General features: G+C 49.4%; 6 annotated features.

The window, feature by feature from the left end:
* Window positions 10884-11811: an enhancer, noted in NCBI's record as "OCT4-NANOG-H3K27ac hESC enhancer chr22:17715293-17716220 (GRCh37/hg19 assembly coordinates)". NCBI's record gives its function as "activates a minimal SCP1, AML or CMV promoter by ChIP-STARR-seq in naive and primed H9 embryonic stem cells {active_cell/tissue: H9 hESC(naive and primed)}" and the evidence as "EXISTENCE:reporter gene assay evidence [ECO:0000049][PMID:30033119]".
* Window positions 11812-12737: an enhancer, noted in NCBI's record as "OCT4-NANOG-H3K27ac hESC enhancer chr22:17716221-17717146 (GRCh37/hg19 assembly coordinates)". NCBI's record gives its function as "activates a minimal SCP1, AML or CMV promoter by ChIP-STARR-seq in naive and primed H9 embryonic stem cells {active_cell/tissue: H9 hESC(naive and primed)}" and the evidence as "EXISTENCE:reporter gene assay evidence [ECO:0000049][PMID:30033119]".
* Window positions 13865-13914: an enhancer, noted in NCBI's record as "active region_18614". NCBI's record gives its function as "activates an Ori minimal core promoter by ATAC-STARR-seq in GM12878 lymphoblastoid cells {active_cell/tissue: GM12878}" and the evidence as "EXISTENCE:reporter gene assay evidence [ECO:0000049][PMID:35858748]".
* Window positions 13985-14074: an enhancer, noted in NCBI's record as "active region_18615". NCBI's record gives its function as "activates an Ori minimal core promoter by ATAC-STARR-seq in GM12878 lymphoblastoid cells {active_cell/tissue: GM12878}" and the evidence as "EXISTENCE:reporter gene assay evidence [ECO:0000049][PMID:35858748]".
* Window positions 19970-20029: an enhancer, noted in NCBI's record as "active region_18616". NCBI's record gives its function as "activates an Ori minimal core promoter by ATAC-STARR-seq in GM12878 lymphoblastoid cells {active_cell/tissue: GM12878}" and the evidence as "EXISTENCE:reporter gene assay evidence [ECO:0000049][PMID:35858748]".
* Window positions 20050-20309: an enhancer, noted in NCBI's record as "active region_18617". NCBI's record gives its function as "activates an Ori minimal core promoter by ATAC-STARR-seq in GM12878 lymphoblastoid cells {active_cell/tissue: GM12878}" and the evidence as "EXISTENCE:reporter gene assay evidence [ECO:0000049][PMID:35858748]".

The raw sequence follows: 22375 nt of genomic DNA on the forward strand, positions 1-22375 counted from the left end.
TTATTGCCCAGGCTGGAGTGCAGTGGCATGATCTCGGCTCACCACCACCTCCGCCTCCCGGGTTCAAGTGATTCTCCTGCCTCAGCCTCCCGAGTACCTGGGATTACAGGCATGTGCCACCACGCCTGGCTAATTTTTGTTTGTTTGTTTGTTTTGTTTTGTTTTGTTTAGTAGAGACGGGGTTTCTCCATGTTGGTCAGGCTGGTCTCCAACTCCCAACCTTAGGTGATCTGCCCGCCTCGGCCTCCCAAAGTGCTGGGATTACAGGTGTAAGCCACCGTGCCCAGCCCAGCATAAGTAATTTTCCTTGCACAAATCTTTCTAGTATTTTTTCTGGCTTCTTAGGGTGCAGTGAACATAATTTGATCTTTTTTGAGGACTTGGTATCATTATTATGAGCATTTATCATAATACTTTCTATTGCTATTGCATTATCACTCTATTTCCAATGCCAGTGAGGTGTGGAGCTTTGTTTGCCCCTGTCCTAAATGGCTTCAGACTGCTCTGCTTGTATGTATTTTTATATAATTTTTCTGTCCCTTCCTATGCAGTTCACTTGTCATTCTGGGTAGGTCTAAATTCCAGCAATCCTCTCCCTCTAATGCTTTACTTCTTGTGGTCTAGGGACTGAAGAACAAGATACTCCAACAGTACCAGTGAGAGCCCCTTCAATTGCTCTATGAGTTGGGGCATATTCACAAGTGCATGGATGGATTCTCAATTAGAGATTGCAGGCTGAACACATGAATTAACCTTAGTTCCTCTCCAAAACCTGCACTAAAATGACAGTGGGGAAAAAAATTAAGCATATATTCACAAGGTTGAAGAAAGCAAGAAAGGAGAAAATAGCAAAAAAAAACTTGGAAGATGGAAGGTACATAAACAAGTGCTAATAATTTAGAAGACAAAAAAACAAACAAACAAACAAAAAAAACAAACACTGAATCTGAAACCAGCAGTGACGAAAGAAACCTCGGATACCTGTGAAAGTGAGGCTGAAGGTAAGTCCAAAGCAGGAGAAATGGAGGAATGGCTGGAAAGCCTTTTTAACAAAAACCTAGAGCCACAGACATTCCTCCCACTCCCTCTTCAGCAGAGCAGTGAAGATTTGTTTTCAGGGAAAGGTAAAACAGAGTTTCTGGCCTAGTTAAGGATGGGGTTATCATACTAAAAATGAAGACTTTTTTTAAATTTTGCATATTGAACACTGAGTCTTCCAAGCCTTTCTCCCCTATTAGTCTCCCAAACATCAGCAACTTATATCCACAGTCAAGAAGAGGGAAAAGCCTTCTCTAGGGCTTTATCCAGCCTCACTGGAAAGACCTAATGATATTTAAAGGGATGTACCAGGTCACGATCTAGTAAAACTCATGGCAACATAGCTTCCTCCCTCCCTGCCCTTCCCACATACAAAGAGCTTATAACATCCTTTTAGTACCCTACTCTTAAATATAAGTAGACAGCCAAGAGTTACTACCTTTGAGAAATACTATTTTATGACAGAGAAAGAGCATCTCAGAAGAAAAAGAATAAGAGGGAGAAGAAAACTTTATCTAAGATTATTAGCCTTAGAGATATAAAAGATGTTATGCCCACAAAACAACAACAGGATTCTATAGAAAAGGAATAGGCAAAGAATGAAAAAGATGCTCTGGGGCCAGGCGCGGTGGCTCACACCTGTAATCCCAGCACTTTGGGAGGCTGAGGCGGGTGGATCACAGGGTCAGGAGATCAAGACCATCCTGGCTAACACGGTGAAACCCCGTCTCTACTAAAAACACAAAAAATTAGCCAGGCGTGGTGGCGGGCGCCTGTAGTCCCAGCTACCTGGGAGGCTGAGGCAGGAGAATGGCATGAACCCGGGAGGTGGAGCTTGCAGTGAGCTGAGATTATGCCACTGCACTCCAGCCTGGGCGACAGAGCGAGACTCTGTCTCAAAAAAAAAGAATGAAAAAGATGTTCTGGAAACAACAATAAGAGACTAAAAACGAAAAACAACAAAAGAGTTGAATGGTGGCTGGGCGCAGTGGCTCACACCTGTAATCCCAGCACTTGGGGAGGCCGAGGCAGGCTGATCAACTGGGGTAGGGAGTTCGAGGCCAGGCTGACCAACGTGGAGAAACCCCGTCTCTACTAAAAATACAAAAATTAGCCAGGCGTGGTGGCGCATACCTGTAATCCCAGCTACTTGGGAGGCTGAGGCAGGAGAATCGCTTGAACCCGGGAGGTGGAGGTTGTAGTGAGCCGAGATCATGCCATTGCACTTCAGCCTGGGCAACAAGCGTGAAACTCCATCTCAAAAAAAAAAAAAGGGTAGCCGGGCGCCGTGGCTCACGCCTGTAATCCCAACACTTTGGGAGGCCAAAGCGGGCAGATGACCTGAGGTCGGCAGTTTGAGATAGGCCTGGCCAATATGGTGACACCCCGTCTCTACCAAAAGTACAAAAATTAGCCGGGCGTGGTGGCTCGTGCCTGTAGTCTCAGCTACTCGGGAGACTGAGGCAGAAGAATCGCTTGAACCCAGGAGGTAGAGGTTGCAGTGAGCCAAGATGGTGCCACTGCACTCTAGCCTGGGTGACAGAGCAAGACTCTGTCTCAAAAAAAAAAGAGTTCAATGACACAGGTAAGGATATCTCCCAGAAAGTAGAGTGAAAGAACAAAGAAAATAAAATGAAAGGAAAAGATTTTTTAAAAGGATGAACAGTTCAAGAAATCCAATATATGAACACTCTGGCTAGTGTGGTGGCTCACACCTGTAATCCCAGTACTTTGGGAGGCCAAGGCGGGTGGACCACCTGAGGTCACAAGTTTGAGACCAGCCTGGCCAACATGGTGAAACCCTGTATCTACTAAAAATACAAAAATTAGCCAGGCATGGTGGCCCACACCTGTACTCCCAGCTACTCAGGAGGCTGAGAAGGAGAATCGTTGGAACCCGGGAGGCAGGAGGTTGCAGTGAGCTGAGATCGTGCCACTGCACTCCAGCCTGGGCAACAGAGTGAGACTCCATCTCAAAAAAAAAAAAGCGCTGGACGCAGTGGCTTACGCCTGTAATCCCAACACTTTGGGAGGCCAAAGTGGGCGGATCACAAGGTCAGGAGCTTGAGAGCAGCCTGGCCAATATGGTGATACCCTGTCTCTACTAAAAATACAAAAATTAGCTAAGTGTGGTGGTAGCTGGCCTGTAGTCCCAGCTACTCGAGAGGCTGAGGCAGGAGAATCATTTGAACCCGGGAGATGGAGGTCATAGTGAGCCGAGATCGCCCACTGCACTCCAGCCTGGGCGACAAAGCGAGACTCCTGTTTCAAAAAAAAAAGAAAAGAAAAGAAAAGAAAGAAAGAAAATTCCATGTTCCAGAAAGAGAAGACAGACTGGAGAAAATCATCAAATAAATGATTCAGGCCGGGCGCAGTGGCTTACGCGTGTAATCCCAGCACTTTGGGAGGCCAAGGTGGGTGGATCACATGAGGTCGGCAGTTTGAGAGCAGCCTGACCAACATGGAGAAACCTCATCTCTACTAAAAATACAAAATCAGCCAGGCATGGTGGTACATGCCTGTAATCCCACCTACTTCAGGAAGCTGAGGCAGGAGAACTGCTTGAACCTGGGAGGCGGAGGTTGCAGGGTGAGCTGAGATCGCGCCATTGTACTCCAGCCTGGGCAACAAGAGCAAAATTCTGTCTCAAAAAAAAAAAAAGAAAAGTCATTCAAAATAAGATGGTAAACCCGGAAAAAGGAATTTAGGGATCCAGGAAACAGAGGATCCCAGCTACTTGGGTGGCAGAGGCAGGAGGATCTCTGAGCCCAGGAGTTTGAGACCAGCCTAGGCAACAGAGTGAGAAACCATCTTAGGGCCAGGCGTGGTGGCTCACGCCTGTAATCCCAGCACTTTGGGAGGCCGAGGTGGGGGGATCACGAGGTCAGTACATTGAGACCATCCTGGCTAACATGGTGAAACCCCATCTCTACTGAAAATACCAAAAATTAGCTGAGCGTAGTGGCGGGCGCCTGTAGTCCCAGCTACTTGGGAGGCTGAGGCAGGAGAATGGTGTGAACCCGGGAGGCGGAGCTTGCAGTGAGCCAAGATCATGCCACTGCACTCCAGCCTGGGTGACAGAGCGAGACTCCGTCTCAGAAGAAAAAAAAAAAAAAGCCATCTTAGAAATAAATCAATAAATATAAATCAGGCTGGGTGCAGTGGCTCACGCCTGTAATCCCAGCACTTTGGGAGGCCAAAGTGGGCGGATCACCCGAGGTCAGAAGTTCGAGACCAGCCTGGCAAACATGGTGAAACCCCATCTCTACTAAAAATACAAAAAATTAGCCAAGCGTGGTGGTGTACACCTGCGGTCCCAGCTACTCGGGAGGCTGAGGCACGAGAATCACTTGAACCCGGGAGGCAGAGGTTGTAGTGAGCCAAGATCGTGCCACTGCACTCCAGCCTGGGCAACAGTGAGACTCTGTCTCAAAAAAAAAAAAAATTAAAGAAATAAATATAAATCAAAAGAAAAGGCAAAGGAAATTCCCAGATTGGTGATAAAGGAAGATCTGAAGTCCAGAGCTGTCCACCAGACCTAAGAACAATTGGTCCTTGATCAGCTGGAGATGGTAAAAACCCTCAGGAAGAAAAGTTTTTCAAGATGAAATTGGCATAATACCTAAGGTGTTTGATTGTATTCATTATTCATAAGAGTTTCACATAACCAAGGGAGAGTTTGAATAAATGAAGAAGACATAGAAAACAAAGTAAAAGAAAAAATATGACAACTGTTAATTCTATGAAATACAGAGAATTGTGCAGGAAAGCAGAAGTTATCCTTAACTCAGTGGTGTCTACACAGGCACATGAAGATAACCAATGAATATAGAGCTCACAAAATTATGACAAATAGACTGGGATGATAGAGAGTCAGAAAATGTGTTTGTGCTGGTCGGGGTAGGAAGAGGATCTTCATTTCTACAGTTGGAAGCCAGCAGATAATGCCTAAAATGGAAAAAAAATCAAGAATAGCAATATAAAGTTACTGATGATACGGAGGGAGATTGAGTTGAAAGATTCAACTCAAGAACTTGAAAATCACTGCCTCTAAGAAGCTAACAATGTTTGGTATTGGGGTCGACCCTTGGGAACCTGACTCTTTAAACCATGGACGTGAGTGCACAGCCCCAGTTAGGGGCCTTCTTCCTGCTTTTTGGCTGATAAGGAGCAGAATGGAGAAATGAACGGTGTTATACACAAACCACAGATGCTACACCCGAGCAGAACCCAACAGACCATCACTAACCCAGGAGGGGAGAACTCCTGACTTCATGACTCTAAGGGGCAAACTGAAAAGTAAGACTGAGGCCTGCAGCAACTTGTGACTCTTGAAGCTATTTGCTCCCTGTCCAGCTTCCCCATTCGATTGCAACACTCGTTAAATATTTGCTCAAAAGTTGCTCACAGTTAGTGGGCACTTACTATGTGCTGGGCACTGGACTAAAGGTCGTGGTCTACGCCATCTCATGCGGTCCTCAGGACAATTCTGTGAGGTAGGTGATCTGCCCATTTTACAGATGCAGAAGTCCAGGACCCACTAAGTAAAATATTGGAACTGGGGAGGCAGTCTTGGGGCCATGCTGCCCATGGCTCTGTTCCAGTCTTCCTTGTTGCTTCTCCCTGCTGAATTCCCAGAAACTGCCCAATAAATATTTGTTTTGATTGTCCTTTTTTTGGGAATGCAAATGCTCAAACATATACTCAGTGAGAGAGGAGCTGGTGAGTTTGTCTCTGTCCTCATATTGTGACAGTGAATAGGCCAACACTGAGATCTCAAACTCAACTTGGCCCATATTGACTTTTCCATTTTCCCTCCCCACAAAAGCTGTTCTTCTTCCAACTTTCCCCTTCCCAGTGAGTGGCACCTCCATCCACCCAGTTGTTTCTGCCAGAAACCTGATTTCCACTCTAGAAAATGAGGAGGAGTTAGCGGATATCTTCCACATCTCCCACCCCAAATCTCCACCAGGCCCCCATGTTTACCCTTCAACCTGCCCACTCCTTCCATCTCCACAGTTGCAACCCAATGCAAGGCCCCATCATCCCTCAGCTGCTCACTTCAGCAGCTTCTACTTTTGTCCCCTTTCCATTAATTTTCCACTCTGCAGATCTAAAAACACAAATTTCAGCATGCCCCTCATGTTCCTTCCTGCTGAAAACCTTTCAAAGTCTACCCACTACACAGTGAGCAAAATGCAAGCTCTTTTTCTTGGCCTGCTGGGCCAGCCTTATCTGGCCTGGAGACCATGTCTCCACCCTCTCCCCCAGCTCCCGACCTGCTGGCCAGCCTTCCTGTGGCCTCTCAAGTGAGGGGGCCCTTCACTTCCAAGGCGCTGCTGTGCAATCCCCTTTACGGGGGAGCTCCTTCCCCTCCTTGACTAGTGCAGCTCCCACCCATCCTTGAGATCCCGATGGAAATGTGTCTTCCTGGGGAGGGCTTCAGGGAACACCCCTATAGGAAGTTAGCCCCGGTTCCACTCTTCACAATACCCTTTTATCTTCTTCCACAACATGTATCACAGCTTGTGATTTTGTATTCATAGATTTCTATGACTGTTCGTTTCATATATATTCGCATAGCAGATGGAAAGCTGTTGTTTACCTTGGGGTCTTCATAGTGCCAGGCTCAGAGGAAGGACCCAAACGTCTGCTGCGGGAAGGCACGCATGATTGAAAGTATGGAGGAAAAGAGCGGGTGTTTGGGTGTATGAGTGTTTGTTAGACATTTAGGTCTCCTCAACCTGGTGTAACACAGAAGAGGCAAATGACACCAGGGTGCCTTGCAAGGAGTGGCCAATCAGCCCAGCCATTCGCTGTGTGGCTTCTTGTGTGCCATTGGCCAAAACTTGTCATAAATAGATGAGCCTACAATGCCAGCAGTGTACACAGTGCCTCCTGGAATCGGGCAGCACTCTACTTGTGCAATCATACCACAATCTTAGAGATCATGATAAATGCCAACAGCAAATGGATAAGCCTGGGCAAGTTCTTCTTGTTTGTTTGCATTTAGCTCTTCATTTTCTTTTTTTTCTTTTCTTTTCTTTTTTTTTTTTTTGAGACAAAGTTTCACTCTTGTTGCCCAGGCTGGAGTGTAATGGCACGATCTCAGCTCACTGCAACCTCCGTCTCCTGGGTTCAAAGCAATTCTCCTGCCTCGGCCTCCCGCGTAGCTGGTATTATAGCCATGCGCCACCACGCCTGGCTAATTTTGCATTTTCAGTAGAGATGGGGTTTCTCCATGTTGGTCAGGCTGGTCTCGAACTCCCGACCTCAGGTGATCTGCCCGCCTCGGCCTCCCAAAGTGCTGGGATTATAGGCATGAGTCACCGCACCCGGCTTTTTAAATTTTTTTATTTTTTACTTTTATTTTTTAGATGGAGTCTCACTCTGTCGCCCAGGCTGGAGTGCAATGGCGCAATCTCGGCTCACTGCAACCTCTGCCTTCCGGGTTCAAGCAATTCTCTGACTCAGCCTCCCAAGTAGCTGGGATTATAGGCACCCACCACCACACCGGGCTAATTTTTCTATTTTTTAGTAGAGATGGGGTTTCATCATCTTGGCCAGGCTGGTCTTGAACTCCTGACCTTGTGATCCACCCACCTTGGCCTCCCAAAGTGCTGGGATTACAGGCATGAGCCACCGCGCCCGGCCTAGCTCCTCATTTTCAGTGCAACACTGAAACATCCCGAGGGATCAAGCCCAAGCCACTTGCCTCCCATCTTTCTGTTTCTCATCTCCCACACACTCTTTTTTTGTTTTTTTTGAGACGGGAATCTCGCTCTGTCACCCAGGCTGGAGTGCAGTGGTGCCACCTCCATTCACCACAACCTCCACCTCCCGGGTTCAAGTGGTTCTCATGCCTCAGCCTCCTGAGTAGCTGAGATTACAGGCACCCGCCACTAATTTAAAAATTAAATATAAAAATTAGCCTGCTGGCTAATTTTTGTATTTTTAGTAGAGAGGAGGTTTCACCATGTTGACCAGGCTGGTCTCGAACGTCTGATCTCAACTGATCCGCCCGCCTCAGCCTCTGAAAGTGCTGGGATTACAGGCGTGAGCCACCACGCCCAGACTCCCATACTTTGTAAGCACCGACATTTATCTTTACAACTCTCCGTAGTTTTCTTTCTTCCATTCCTATTTTTCATTTTCTTTTCTGCGGGGAAAAGGGAGTGGCTTTTTCTTTATCACTGCTGTCATGCCTGGTGAGACTGTCTGTATTTTGGTCCTTTCCTTTGGCTGCCCCAGGAATCATCATCAATTATGCCAACATCTGTGACTTGCCACCTTCAAAGTGGGCTCTGAATCCAAAGACAAAAGATGGCCCTCTGGGCCAGACGTGGTGGCTCACACCTGTAATCCCAGCACTTTGGGAGGCTGAAGCAGAAGAATTGCTTGAGCGCAGAAGTTTGAGGCTGCAGTGAGCCATAATCACACCACTGCACTCCAGTCCAGGCGACAGAGCAAGACCATATCTCTAAAAAATAATAATAATAAAAACTTAAAAAAAAAAAGTAGGAAAAAAAAGGCCTCTCGTGTGATTGTGCATGTTTTGGCCAGCCTTTTCTATACGTCAGACGTGGGGTCCGTGGCCTTGTTGGGGTGAAGGACTTTTATTTCCACCTGTTGACAGGACAGCAGGAGGACTGCCTGCCCTTCCTGGTCTGACGGTTGCTGTGTTGTTCTCAAGAGCCTTCCTCCAGCAGCAGGGAGGGGAGGACTGGCTGTCTCAGAATCTTTTAAAAGCCCTGCTGTCTGAGGACCTGCATCACCCAGGATTCCGTTTCATTTCTCCAGCCACAATCCCTGCCAGTGTTCTCTGCACTCTGGATGAGAGACCTTAGGAAAGCAAATCAGATCGTATCACTTCCCTTCTGAAAATTCCAAAAGCTCCCCCCGCCCCCGCCGCACCGGCCTCTCTTTATTGGCCCCCTGCACAGCCTCCAGCTCCTCGTACTGACCTCTTTGCAGTTCTCCAAACCGGCCAGGCTCGTGCTTTGCAGAGGCCTTTGCACAGGTGCACACACCCGCTGGGCCTGGAAGACCTTTCCCTTCCCGCTTCACGAAGGCCAGGTGGCCTCCCTGGGCTGAGCCCCTGTCTCAGCATGTGGCGCACTGTGTTGAAATGCTCCAGGACTTGAGTGCGTCTATCACTGGGATACACCTCCCAATGGCAGAGGCAGTCTCGTCACCAAATACTGTGGGTGCCGCTCTCTATATAACTGCTCGGTCAATGTTTGCCCAGTGGTTGAATGAATGGATGCGAGAAGCTGCTTAGTTCCCTTCTCTCCCTGGGGCTCCAGTCCTGCCACGGAGGGAGCATTAGGAACAAGCACTCACAACTGTTCTTTGACAGGTCTTTGTGACTGATTAAGCAGGTCCTTTATCTCTAATGTGCATTTCCTTATCGCTGTTCTACATCTCCTGGCCTCCTCTTTAAACCAAAAGCTCCATCCAGAGCCTCCAAATGGATGACTATTCAGCAGGACCGCAAGAGGAGCGCTGTTGAGGGGAAAGAGTAGTGGGGGGGATGGCGCTGAGACAGAGGGAGGAAGGGCAGAGGAACCCAACTTCTCAGCTGCCTCTTTTGTGCTCTGTCCTTTCCCTTCTAACTCCCTCCCCACTCTGTGCACCACCTATTACTGTCCCTATTGTAGAAGATGTGGAAACGCGGGCCTCACGGGTTCAATAGCCAACAGACACTCAGTTCCGCAGCCATCAAGAGGAAGACCAGGTAAAAACAACAGCCACAGCTGAGCTCCACAGATGACCTGGTGTAAGCCTCAGTCGCCTTATGAGGTGGGCAAGCACTTTCCCCCCATTCAACAGATGAAAAACCTGACTTCAGAGAAGCTAATACCCTGGATCCAGGTTCCAGCAAGTGGCTGAGCCAGGCCCATGACACTAAACCTGTCCTTCGCTTACAGCCTCCTAGGGGAGGAGAGAGAAAACAGAAGCGGGAAAAGGCCAATTGAGAGGGAGAAAGTTCTGGAGCAGGACTGCAAGGCGACCTTGGCTTCCTGGCCCCTGATGGCTGTATTTGCAGGTGCATCACACACCCTTCTCAGCCTCTGCTCCCTGCACTGAACATGCTGGAACTCCAACCACACCTCACCTGCCACCTTCCTACCAGACACTTCTATTTGCCCTTCTCCCACTTTTGCCCAGGGGCCAGTTTCAGCTGCTCACTTTCCAAAGGATCACTTGAGCAGCACCTCCATCTACACAGACTGCAGAAGGCCCAACTGAATGCAGGCTGGATGCAGCCTGGGCTGCACCTTAGAATCACCTGGGAAACTTTTACAAGCCACAGGTGTCTAGGCCCCGCCCCAGGCCCATTAAGTCACATTCCTTGGACTTGGGCTCTGGTATATTTAGGGGTGCAGGGGAGTGGTCTGGTATATTTTAAAAGCTTCCCTAGTGATTATTCTGCACAGAGGACTCAAAGCCACCCCATTTCCGGAGACAGGTTCACATGAAAAAGTTGAATAGCAACATTCGGCATCATCTACACACATTAAGATTCAGATTCCTCGAGAGTCACACCTGGGCGCTGGCGACTCCCTCCTGAAGGCCACCCCGAGGGAGTCCAGGAGAAAGAGGAAGGAGACTCCAGAGGAGGAGAGGATGGGAAGGATGGAGAGCAGCCCCTCCCACCTCTTCCCAGTGGCTCCACCCCTCTTCCTCAAAGAGCATGGGTGTTCCCTGCCCGCCTCCAAGAAGCTCCTGCTTTCACCACCGCGAGAAATCCCTCCGTCTAGCGCATCCAACTGGGAACTGCACTCCGGAGGACAATGCTTGGCTCCCCTTGGCACGGGTATTGTGCCTGTACCCCTGGGCCGGCCTTGATGCACAGTGAACCTCTGTCTTGGGAGACCCACGCTCTCTTTCCTCCCCTCTCCTTGTGATGATGAAAGTGTGCCTTCAGGCCAATGGTGGCTCGAGCCTGTAATCCCAGCACTTTGAGAGGTAGAGGCAAGAGGATCGCTTGAGCCCCGGAGTCCAAGACCAGCGCGGCCAACATAGCGAGACCCCATCTCTACAAAAAAATTAAAAGTGTGCCTTTACCTCCTCCCATGTGAAGAGCAGGTAAGGGGTAGACTTTTGGCCCCGTTTTATAGAGAGAAACTGAGGCTCACAAGGAAAAACAATCTGTGGACAGGGATACACCAGGAAGTTCCAAGCTGAGGGTAAATTACCCTAGAGATCTGCAAAAGTTCAACTGATGGCTGCCATGGAGGAAGTGGGTCCAGATGGGGAACAGGGCCATCTCCGCCTTCAAAACAACCCCAAACAGGGCTTGGAATAAGATCGACCATAGGCCAGGCTCGGTGGCTCACACCTGTAATCCTAGCACTTTGGAAGTCCGAGGCAGGCAAATCACAAGGTCAGGAGTTCGAGACCAGCTTGGCCAACATGGTGAAACCCTGTCTCTAAAAAAAAAAAAAAAAAAAAAAAATCGACCAAAGACCCCCCCTGATATTTCCCCAGCTTCTTGGCCAAGCAGGGGATGAGGTCAGGGTCTGTCTCTGTGGGACGAAGATTAAGGACTGGGGTCTGTGCATGCCTGTGCGTATGGCCCTTGCCACCCCCATTCAACCAAGAACATCAATTTGCATCTGAAACTGTTCTATAGGTATGCCAGAGCAGCCTCCTAGGCGGCATCTCTTCACCCCCAGCGCAAATGGTGAGATTTGGGTGACTCCATCCCCCAAACACAGAACCTGGCGAGGTCTGTGTTAAAATGTAAATTCAGGAGTCATAAATATTTTTAAAGTTGTAATACAAGAAACAGATTGTCCGGGGGCCAAAAGGATGACCTTTTACATGCAAATGAAAATAATGGATCTTTAAACGCAGTTATTGTCAGGATGATGAGCTGACTAAGACTGGAGGAAAAGAGGCCTCCTGGGTGGGCGCCAGCGTGGGATAAAGAAAAGACAACCAGAGCAGAGATGAAAAAGACCGAAAGGGGATGCAAGCACCCAGGAGAGTGGACTGAGAAGTTCTAGGGGCAAGCCGGCGTGCAGAAAGAGGACCAGATTCCTGGGGTCAGTAACTAAGGATGACAATGGAGGACCCCAAGGGGCCCTCTGGGACAAAAATAGGACTGGGATGCACTATCTCAGAAACTGGATGCAGGAGCTCAAGGAAAACACCTTAGCACCGGGGTTTCCATGTCCCCAGCACTTCTCACGCTCAGTGTTTTAACTCTCATTTCCAGACAATGTAATAACATAGCGGGTACTGGGGGTGTGGTCCCTGTCCTCATGACGTTTACAAACAGAACATGAATAAATGATGGATTAAATAAATTACATGGAAATACATTTAGGATATGGAAGGAAAGGAACAACACAGGAGGGAGACCCAACCCAGGGCAGGGGGTGCAGGATTGTTTCCCACCAGAAATGACATTCACAAAGGATGGATAGGAGTTGGCCAGCAGGAGAAGCAGACTTTCAGGCCCAGGGAGAAAGTGTGTTCAAAGGTCCTGAGGTGAAAAGCTTAAGAAACTGAAAGAGGGATGGGGGGATAGCAAAGAAAAGTGGTGTGCTGGGCATGGTAGCTCACACCTACAACCCCAGCACTTTGGGAGGCCCAGGCAGGAGGATCACGTGAGGACTGGAGTTTAAGACCAGGCTGGGCACCACAGGGAGACCACATCTCTACAAACAAATTAAAAAATTAGCCAGGCATGGTGGCACGCATCTATAGTCCCAGGTACTCCCAGCTACTCAGGAGGCTGAGGTGGGAGGATCCCTTGAGCCCAGGAGTTCAAGGCTGTGGGGAGCCATGATCGCACACTGCACTACAGCCTGGGTGACAGAGTGAGACCCCATCTCAAAAAAAAAAAAAAAAAAGGAAAGTGAGTAAAGAATATGCGATGCCAAGTGAGAAGTGACAGCTCATATTAACCCCCATCTGGAAGCTCTGCTCCATCTGATGCAGAGAGAATAGAAAGAAATCCGTCCCAGTGGATTGAAACAGCTCCTTTTTTTTTTTTTTTTTGAGAGGGAGTTTCACTCATTGCCCAGGCTGGAGTGCGATGGCGTGATCTTAGCTCACCGCAACCTCCGCCTCCCAGCTTTAAGCGATTCTCCTGCCTCAGCCTCCTAAGTAGCTGGGATTACAGGCATGCTCCACCACATCCAGCTAATTTTGTATTTTTAGTAGAGACGGGGTTTCTCCATGTTGGTCAGGCTGGTCTCAAACTCCCGACCTCAGGCGATCCGCCCCCCTTTGGCCTCCCAAAGTGCTGGAATTTCAGGTGTGAGCCACCACGCCCGGCCAGAAATAGCTCTTAAATCTATTTTATTGTTTATTAAAGCCATGGTTTGTGCTTTCCTGGTCTTCCCAGAGTTCTAGGCCCTGCCTTGGCTTCTCAGTTTGCTTCTCCCCAGCCCCTGAACCCAGCCTGGGGGACAGCCCTGGTTCTCTGGATGGATGGATGTCTGTCTGCTGATGAATGTGCAGTCACTGCCCACTGTGAGTTTTTTGCAGTGGTGATAGAAGGCTTGGAGGGGTGGGTACTTATCCCCAGTCAGTCATCAGAGAGCCCTTCAGGAGACGTCACTCATTTCTGTCTCATAATGAAACTGAAAGTTGAGACCTCTACGGAATAAAATAGGAAGGACAGAAAACTTCTGGTCCTGGGGCTGAGGTTGGGTGGTGGGGAGGGGGCAGGAAATTGGCTGCAGCCAAGACCCTTATTGTGCATGCCTTGAGAGGCCAAGCCCTGCAGTCAGCTGAGCTTGCTATTTTAGGTGAGGAGATCAGCCTTCAGAATCAGCTTATGAATCTTCAGACACCTGACGACAACCCAGAAAACAGGAGAGGAGGAGGGACTGGCCAGGGAGCCGGAGGCCTCCAAAGGGCCAAAGGAAAGGGCCCTTGTGGGCAAGAGCATAAACACCACCCAGAAGATGAGCGGGGATGACAGTTCAGGCCCCGCAAGAGGAATGTCCTCTGGTCAGAGTGTCAAGGCCGGTGGGTGCAGGGGCTTGGGGCCGAGTGGCAGCTTGCCCATCTGGTGGCTGCACCTGACAGGCACCGTTCACATGGACTGGGTTGGTGTGCACTGGGGCTGACCAGTGTCCTACAGAAAAGCTGAGAATGCTTTGGCAGCACTGAGACAACATTTAGGTTCGGCAATGACACAGATTCACAGATTTAAGCAAAAGCCTCCATTTTGTGGGCCATCAAACTGCCCATGGACAAGTTGTGTACCCACAAGAGACTGTTACCACCCCAACTTGCCTCTAGCCTTAGAGATGTTAGAGTAAAAAACAAAAATCAGTGGTCACATGTAAGCAATGTGTGTGTATGAAGTTAGCACAGGTGGCTACAGAGTGTATGGCAGAATATCAGGAATAGACCAATAGTCTGTGAATAAGAGGCCGGTTAAGTAAATTACGGTACCCATGTACCGAGTCCTATGTTTTATAAAGATAGATGAAGAACTTTTTCTATGCACTATAAAAAAACCTTCGCCGGGCACGGTGGCTCACACCTGTAATCCCAGCACTTTGGGAGGCCAAGGCGGGTGGATCACGAGGTCAGGAGTTCGAGACCAGCCTGGCCAACAGTGAAACCTCGTCTCTACTAAAAATATAAAAATTAGCCGGGCATGGTGACAGGCGCCTGTAGTCCCAGCTACTACTGGGGAGGCTGAGGCAAGAGAATTGCTTGAACCCAGGAGGCAGAGATTGCAGTGAGCTGAAATTGTGCCCCTGCACTCCAGCCTGGGCCACAGAGCAAGACTCTGTCTCCAAAAAAAAAAAAAAAAAAAAAAAGGCGGCCGGGCGCGGTGGCTCGTGCCTGTAATCCCAGCACTTTGGGAGGCCGAGGCGGGTGGATCACCTGAGGTCTGGAGTGCGAGACCAGCCTGAGCAACATGGTAAAACCCCATCTCTACTAAAAATACAAAAAAATAGCCAGGCGTGGTGGCAGACGCCTGTAACCCCAGCTACTTGGGAGGCTGAGGCAGGAGAATCACTTGAACCCTGGGGGGGCGGAGGTTACGGTGAGCCGAGATTGCGCCATTGCACTCCAGCCTGGGCAACAAGAGTGAAACTCCATCTCAAAAAAAAAAAAAAAAAAATAGTAGACACCGGGTTTCACCATGTTGGCCAGGCTGGTCTCCAACCCCTGACTTCAGGTAATCCACTCGCCTCAGCCTCCCAAAGTGCTGAATTACAGGTGTAAGCCACCGCGCCTGGCCTTAATTTTATTTATTCATTTATGTATTGTTTTTGTAGAGGTGGGATTTCACCATGTTACTGGTCTCGAACTCCTGGGCTCAAGCGATCCGCCTGCCTCTGCCTCCCAAACTGCTGGGATTACAGGCATGAGCCACCGCATCTAGGCTATTCATGGCTATGTTTTCAAAAAAGAAACTCTGGAAGGATACACAAGAGACTAATACAAGTGGCAAGCTGTTCAGATGGGTGAAGAATCAGGCAGAAAGGACAGGGAGTTGGAATAAGACTTCACTGTCATCACTTAGATGGTATTCTCATTTTTTTTTCAACCGTGTTACCTATTTGTGACAGGCAGAATATCTTCCTAAAGATCTCCGTGCCCTAATCCTGAAAATATGTTGTATTATATACAGCACAGAGAACTTTGTAGATCTAATTAAGGTCATGGACCTTTAAATGAGGAGATTAGCCGGAATTATCCAGGTGAACCCAATCTAATCCCATGATCCCTTAAAAGCACAGAGCTGTATATGGCTGGAGCCTGAGAGATTCAACATAAAAAGCCAGAGATTTGAAGGGTGGGAGGGACTCACGGCTGACAGAAAGCATGTCAGGGAGAGCAGGCACCCTCCAGGAGCAGAGACTTTTCCCCAGCTGACAGCCAGCAAGGAAAGAGGGGTCCCAGTCCCACAACCTCCAGGAGCTGACGTTAGCCCACAACCTGCATGAGTGTAGGAGAAGACTCCTCCAGAGCCTCCGGTCAGGAATGCAGCCCTGCCAGCACCTTGATCTCAGCCTGCAAGATCTTAAACAGAGAACTCAGCTGAGCCTCCCTGGACTTCTTATTTTTTAATTTAGAGACAGGGCCTTGCTCTGCCCCACCAGGCTGGAGTGCAATGGTGCAAACATTCATAGCTCACTGGAGCCTGGACCTCTCAGGCTGAAGGGATCCCCTCACCTCAGTCTCCCTCCTGAGCAGCTGGGACCACAGGCACGTGCCACCATGCCTGGCTAATTTTTGAAAAAATTTTTTGTAGAAATGAGGTCTCGCTATGTTGCCTAGGCTGATCTTGAACTCCTGGGCTCAAGCGATCCTCCTGCCTTGGCCTCCCAAAGTGCTGGGATTGCCGGCATGAGCCACTGCACCTGCTTTATTGTGATTTATTCTCTACAGTATTTTGTTAGAGTTTGGCTGGGTGTGGTGGCTAACACCTCTAATCCCAGCACTTTGGGAGGCGGGAGGATCACTTGAGCCCAGGAGGTCAACGCTACAGTGAGCTATGATTGTGCCACTGCACTCCAGCCTGGGCAACAGAGCAAGCCCTTGTCTCAAAGAAAGAATAAATCACACTGGATTAAAAAAAAATTTTCAAACATGAGTCAAGAAGCAGCCTGTGAAATATCAGGCTCAGCCCCAACTACATTTCAGGGCTAACTAGGCCCAGAGACCCACTGTTGGTGCTATTTCGTCAGCTCTTATCCAGGACCCTGATCCAGGCTCTCCTCAACATTCGCAAGAGAGTGTTTGAGAAAGAATGGTTAAAAGCAAGTGTTCAGTCGCACACACTCAGAGAGATGGCACAGTTTGTAATCCTAGCTCTGTGGGTCTCAGAGTATGGCCCCTGGCCAGACTCAGCAGCCTCACCTTCCCAGACCTCCCGACTCAGAAACTCCAGGGCGGGGACTCAGGAATCTGCTTTAACCACCCCTCCAGTGATCCTCGTGCATGGTCAAGTTTGAGAAGCATTGTATATCCTAGCTGAATCTTTCTTTAGGATGGATATCTTCCTTGAGGATGGATAATGCCATCTTTCTAGGATGAGTGATGGAGCTGCAGAGGCATTTCAGAAGGTCGGTCACTAGGTTTCAAGGGCTTAAGGTGACACAGAAACTGCAGTGTTGTAGAAGCAAACCAAGGACAACAGTGCACCCAGCTAGGTTAGATCAAAGTGGCGGGTAGCGAAGGGGAGTGGCAGCCTCCCTTTCACAGAAGGTTTGCTATCACACCCCACCCGCAGACAAAGCCCCCTGGGTATCACACTGAGGGGCCATGCACGGAAGGTGGGCACCATGCAATGAGGCAATCCACACCAGCCTCAAAGGTGCTACTCTCTGCTAGTCAAAGTCTACCTAGAAGACACTTCCAGACAAAGGCCAGCCTCAGTAACCAAGACGTGCCTGCAATGATTAACTGAACAGTTTTTTAAAACCTGGAAGGTGTTTGTGTGCTCAGATCACATCCTACGTGGTTGGGCAAAAGCTGGCAAAGTGTGACACATAGCTGACACTGGAAAACGGGAATCCAGGTGAAAAACAGTTTTCTAGGTGCAGGTAGGAGAAAGGGGGCAAACAAAATCTGACAGATACACGAGAGAGAACTCCAGGGTGTTGGCCAGGCGCAGTGGCTCACGCCTGTAATCCCAGCACTTTGGGAGGCTGAGGCGGGCAAATCATGAGGTCAGGAATTTGAGACCAGCCTGGCCTACATGGTGAAACTCTGTCTCTACTAAAAATACAAAAAAATTAGCTGGACATGGTGGCGGGCGCCTGTAATCCCAGCTACTTCAGAGGCTGAGGCAGGAGTATCGCTTGAACCTGGGAGGTGGAGGTTGCAGTGAACTGAGATCATGCCACCACACTCCAGCCCGGGCAACAGAGTGAGACTCTGTCTCAAAAGAAAAAAAAAAAAGAACTCCAGGGCATAAACTGCATGGGAGTCCCCTACCCTCTGCCCCTTGGGCCCAGGTCTCTCAATTCCATACACTCAGAGTTGGATCTCTTAAACAAACAGGCAATTGCCCAGATGGCCCGACCAGGCCTCCACTCATTGGTTTCTTTCTGGTCCTCTGACTGTTGTGCCTCGCCTGTCTTTCTCCCAGACGTTGTTGGAATTCCCACCTCCACATGCCCACCCCTAGATCCAGCTTCCTGGCTGGTGCCTGGGAGCGTGGCTTCTGCCCGCCCACTGGCCTGGCCTCAGAGGTCTGCCCTACCCTGACGCTAGCAACTGCTCAGACTAGGCAGCCCGTGGATGGAACTGCCTGATGCTGTCCTCCCATGCAAAGAGAATGGAGCCCTGGAAGAAGGCTCTCTGGAGTCACCCCAACAAAACACCATGTGAGCCTTGCACTTCCTTGCAGTGTGGCAGGGCACATCTCACATGGGTGCTTGCAGGGATGTGGAGGTGGGAATGTGAGAGGGTGGGGAGGGGTGTGGAGTGGCCAGGATCCAGGGGAGAATGCCCCACGGAGACAGAGACCCTTGGCTTGGTATGAAGGGAGCACAAGAAGGAGTAAATCCAGGACACGGCTAGACTGTGGCACCCCTGTGGGAGTGCCCGCACTTAGGGACACATGACCTTGGGGGAATTCTGGACAGCTTAGAGGCTTACTCCATGACAGAAGATACTTCCCTTCTGGAGACCTCAACTTCTCTCTGTGTTAGTTGGCTGAGGCTGCCATCACACAATATCACAATCTTGGTGACTCAAAAAACAGAAACTTATTTCCTCACAGTTCCCTGGGCTGGAAGTCCAAGATCAAAGTGTTGACAAGCTTGGTTTCTTCTGAGGCCTCAGTGTGCCAACAAGGACCCTTGCTGTCTCTTCCCACTCCGAATTTCCTGTTCCTATAAGGACGCCAGTCAGATTAGATTAGGCCCACCCTAAGGGCCTCCTTTTAATTTAATCACCTCTTTAAAGGTCCTATCTCCAAGTACAGTCACCTTTTGAGGTACTGAGCATTAAGGCTTCAACACACGAGTTTTGGGCCAGGAGTGGTGGCTCACAACTATAACCCCAACACATTGGGAGGCTGAGATGGGAGGATCCCTTGAGCCCAGGAGGTCGAGGCTCAGTGAGCTATGATCGTGTCACTGCACTCCAGCCTGGGCAACAGAGCAAGACTCTGTCTCAAAACAAAACAAAACAAAACAAAACAAACCCATGAATTTTGGGGGAGACACCACTCAGCCAGCAACACTGTAAGTATGGAATACTAATACCAACCTATTTCACTAGTTGAGGGAAGTGATTTCAGAAGAGGGGGCTGAGATTTGTCATAATCAGCAGACCAAGTTTAGATGTAAGTACCTCCTGCAAAATTTCAGAAAGATCTGTCTTGTCCTTTGTCAACAGAAAAAATCACTCCTTCATGCAAGCATTTATTGAGTGCCTCTCTGTGCCAAGTTGGCTCACTGCAATGCAGATATTATCTGATCTAATCAAGGGGTATTTATTGAGTGGCGTTGGAGGTTAAAGGAGTATCAAACAAACTTGATCCCAGTCCTGAAGGAGCTTGTAATTCTTGCTGGAAAGGCAAGACCAACTCATAGGAAACAACAGGAACAGCAGCAGGTGATATACAACTGAGTTCTAAATTGTGTGGTGCAGACTTCAATTGCTGCTGGAATTGGGAATGAGGAAGATCAATGAGGGAGCGGGTCAGCACCAGCTAAATCACTTAGACTGAGGCATTCATCAGCCTGAGCCATTGTTCACGCTGCAGACTTTCTGTTCAAAATGGTAAAAGCCAGTCCGAGGCTGGGCACGGTGGCTCACGCCTGTAATCCCAACATTTTGGGAGGCCGAGGCGGGCGGATCACATGAGGTTGGGAGTTCGAGACCAGCCTGACCAACATGGAGAAACCCTGTCTCTACTAAAAATACAAAATTAGCCGGGCGTGGTGACGCGTGCCTGTAATCCCAGCTACTCAGGAAGGCTGAGGAAGGAAAATCTCTTGAACCCAGGAGGCAGAGGTTGCAATGAGCTGAGATCACGCCATTGCACTCTAGCATGGTCAACAAGAGCTAAACTCCGTCTCAAAAAAAAAAAAAAAAAAAAGCCAGTCCAAAAGCCTCAGTCACAGGGATGACTCAGGACCTTGAGTTTCATTTCATGTTTCTAATGTCATGAGACAACCGTGGGCCTCGCCCTGCTCAGCAGAGTCCTACCCCCCACTTTCTCCACACAGCTTCCCCTACTCAGGGTACATGAAAAAGGGGTTCCCCACCACAACTCTATGGCCACACCCCAGGGGGCAAGTTCAACCAACAGGCCAGGCGAATGAGCCCCATCTGTGCCCCATTCCCACCTGATCGGACCCCACAGCCCTTTGGGAGCACTCAGATACTGGTGAGAATGCCCCTGTTTGCTTGGGGGGCCCGTGGCTACTTATTGACGGCACAGGGCATCTGTTGAGAAGATGCAGGCAGGGGAGGGAAGGAGAGAAAGACAAGAGGAGCCTATGCAATTGGCGAGAGACACAGAGGACAGAGAACATGGGGAACTGAGGACTAGAACGGATTTCTGGCCTGACCCGTTCTGGGGGACTCCTTTTAGACCAGGGGTCTGTGTTGGCCCGTGAGTGCAGCTGGGCTCTCTCCACCTCTTTTCAGCCTCCTCTGCCACTCTGAAAGGCCCCAGGTTTTATTCCCGGTTCACATTGCCGCACCCATAACCCAGGGAATGTGGCAGCCCCTGCTGGGGTTTCACAGGCGTGCAGAGGGTGCCTCTGGGTAGGGCTTCATTCCTCTATGGGCAGGAGTCCCTGGGCACTGACCACGCCCTAGTGACAGCCAGAGTGCCTTCATTCCAAGTGCTATATTAGCAGTATCTTAAAAACCTGTCTGAGCCGGGCGCGGTGGCTCACACCTGTAATCCCAGCACTTTGGGAGGCTGAGGTGGGCGGATCACGAGGTCAGGAGATCGAGACCATCCTGGCTAACACGGTGAAACCCCATCTCTACTAAAAGTGCAAAAAATTAGCTGGGCGTGGTGGCAGGCGCCTGTAGTCCCAGCTACTTGGGAGGCTGAGGCAGGAGAATGGCGTGAACCCGGGAGGCGGAGCTTGCAGTGAGCCGAGATCGCGCCACTTCACTCCAGCCTGGGCAACAGAGCAAGACTCCGTCTCAACAAAAAAAAAAACCTGTCTGAAACAAGTACGTGAGAATTCACTTCTTCTTCTTTTTTTTTTTTTTGAGATGGAGTTTCGCTCTTGTTGCCCAGGCTGGAGTGCAATGGCACGATCTCAGCTCAACACAACCTCTGACACCCAGGTTCAAGTGATTCTCCTGCCTCAGCCTCCTGACTAGCTGGGATTATAGGTATGCATCACCATGCTGGGCTAATTTTGTACTTTTAGTAGAGACGGGGTTTCTCCATGTTAGTCAGGCTGTTCTTGAACTCCCACCTTCAGATGATCCACCCGCCTTGGCCTCCCAAAGTGCTGGGATTACAGGCGTGGCTACCTCGCCCAGCCGAGAATTCACTTTTGCTGAGAAAGTAATGGAGGTCCCACGGCCATTTTAGGAGCAACATTTGTTGGGGTGGAGTGGAGATCGGTAGTGCAAAATTGACCCTCCTAGATTACCCAAGAAAAATGAGCCCAAATCTGAACTTCTGAAGACACAACTTGAATTCACCACCTTTTTAAAATCTTTTTTTTTTTTGAGACAGAGTCTAGCTCTGTCGCCCAGACTGGAGTGCAGTGGCGCGACCTCGGCTCACTGCAAGCTCCACCTCATTTAGTTCAGGTACTAAACGGGTCACTGGGCTTAGTGGCAAGAGTTCCTAATGAGAAATACTACTTGAGGACTTACATTGTGCCAGATGCTTTACATGTGTGGCATCATTTAATCTTCCAGATATTATAACCATTGTCATTGTAGAGATGAGAAAACTGAGTCCTGAAAAGCTGACTAGTCTGGGGACATCACTTGTTCAAGGTCACATGGCTAGTCGTTGAGGAAAGCAGAATTGAACTCAGGTGACTCCATGGCCCATGTATGAACCACTGGGCCACACTCCCTCACTTATAAGCTGATGTTGTCAGTTCTCACTATCAGCAGGGTTGGTGCCTCTACAAAACCACAATCAGGAAGGGAGAAAGGCCTTAGGAATAATATTCTAGGCCTTCGACTACAAACTACAGCCTGCAGGACAAATTTTTTTCAACTTTATTGAGGCATTTTTTTTTTTTTTTGAGATGGAGTCTCGCTCTGTCGCCCAGGCTGGAGTGCAGTGGCGCGATCTTGGCTCACTGCAACCTCCGCCTCCCAGGTTCAAGCAATTCTCCTGCCTCAGCCTCCCGAGTAGCTGGGACTACAGGCACGCACCACCACACCCGGCTAA

This window comes from Homo sapiens, chromosome 22 (assembly GCF_000001405.40).
Source record: "Homo sapiens chromosome 22, GRCh38.p14 Primary Assembly".
NCBI classification, from domain to species: Eukaryota; Metazoa; Chordata; class Mammalia; order Primates; family Hominidae; genus Homo; species Homo sapiens.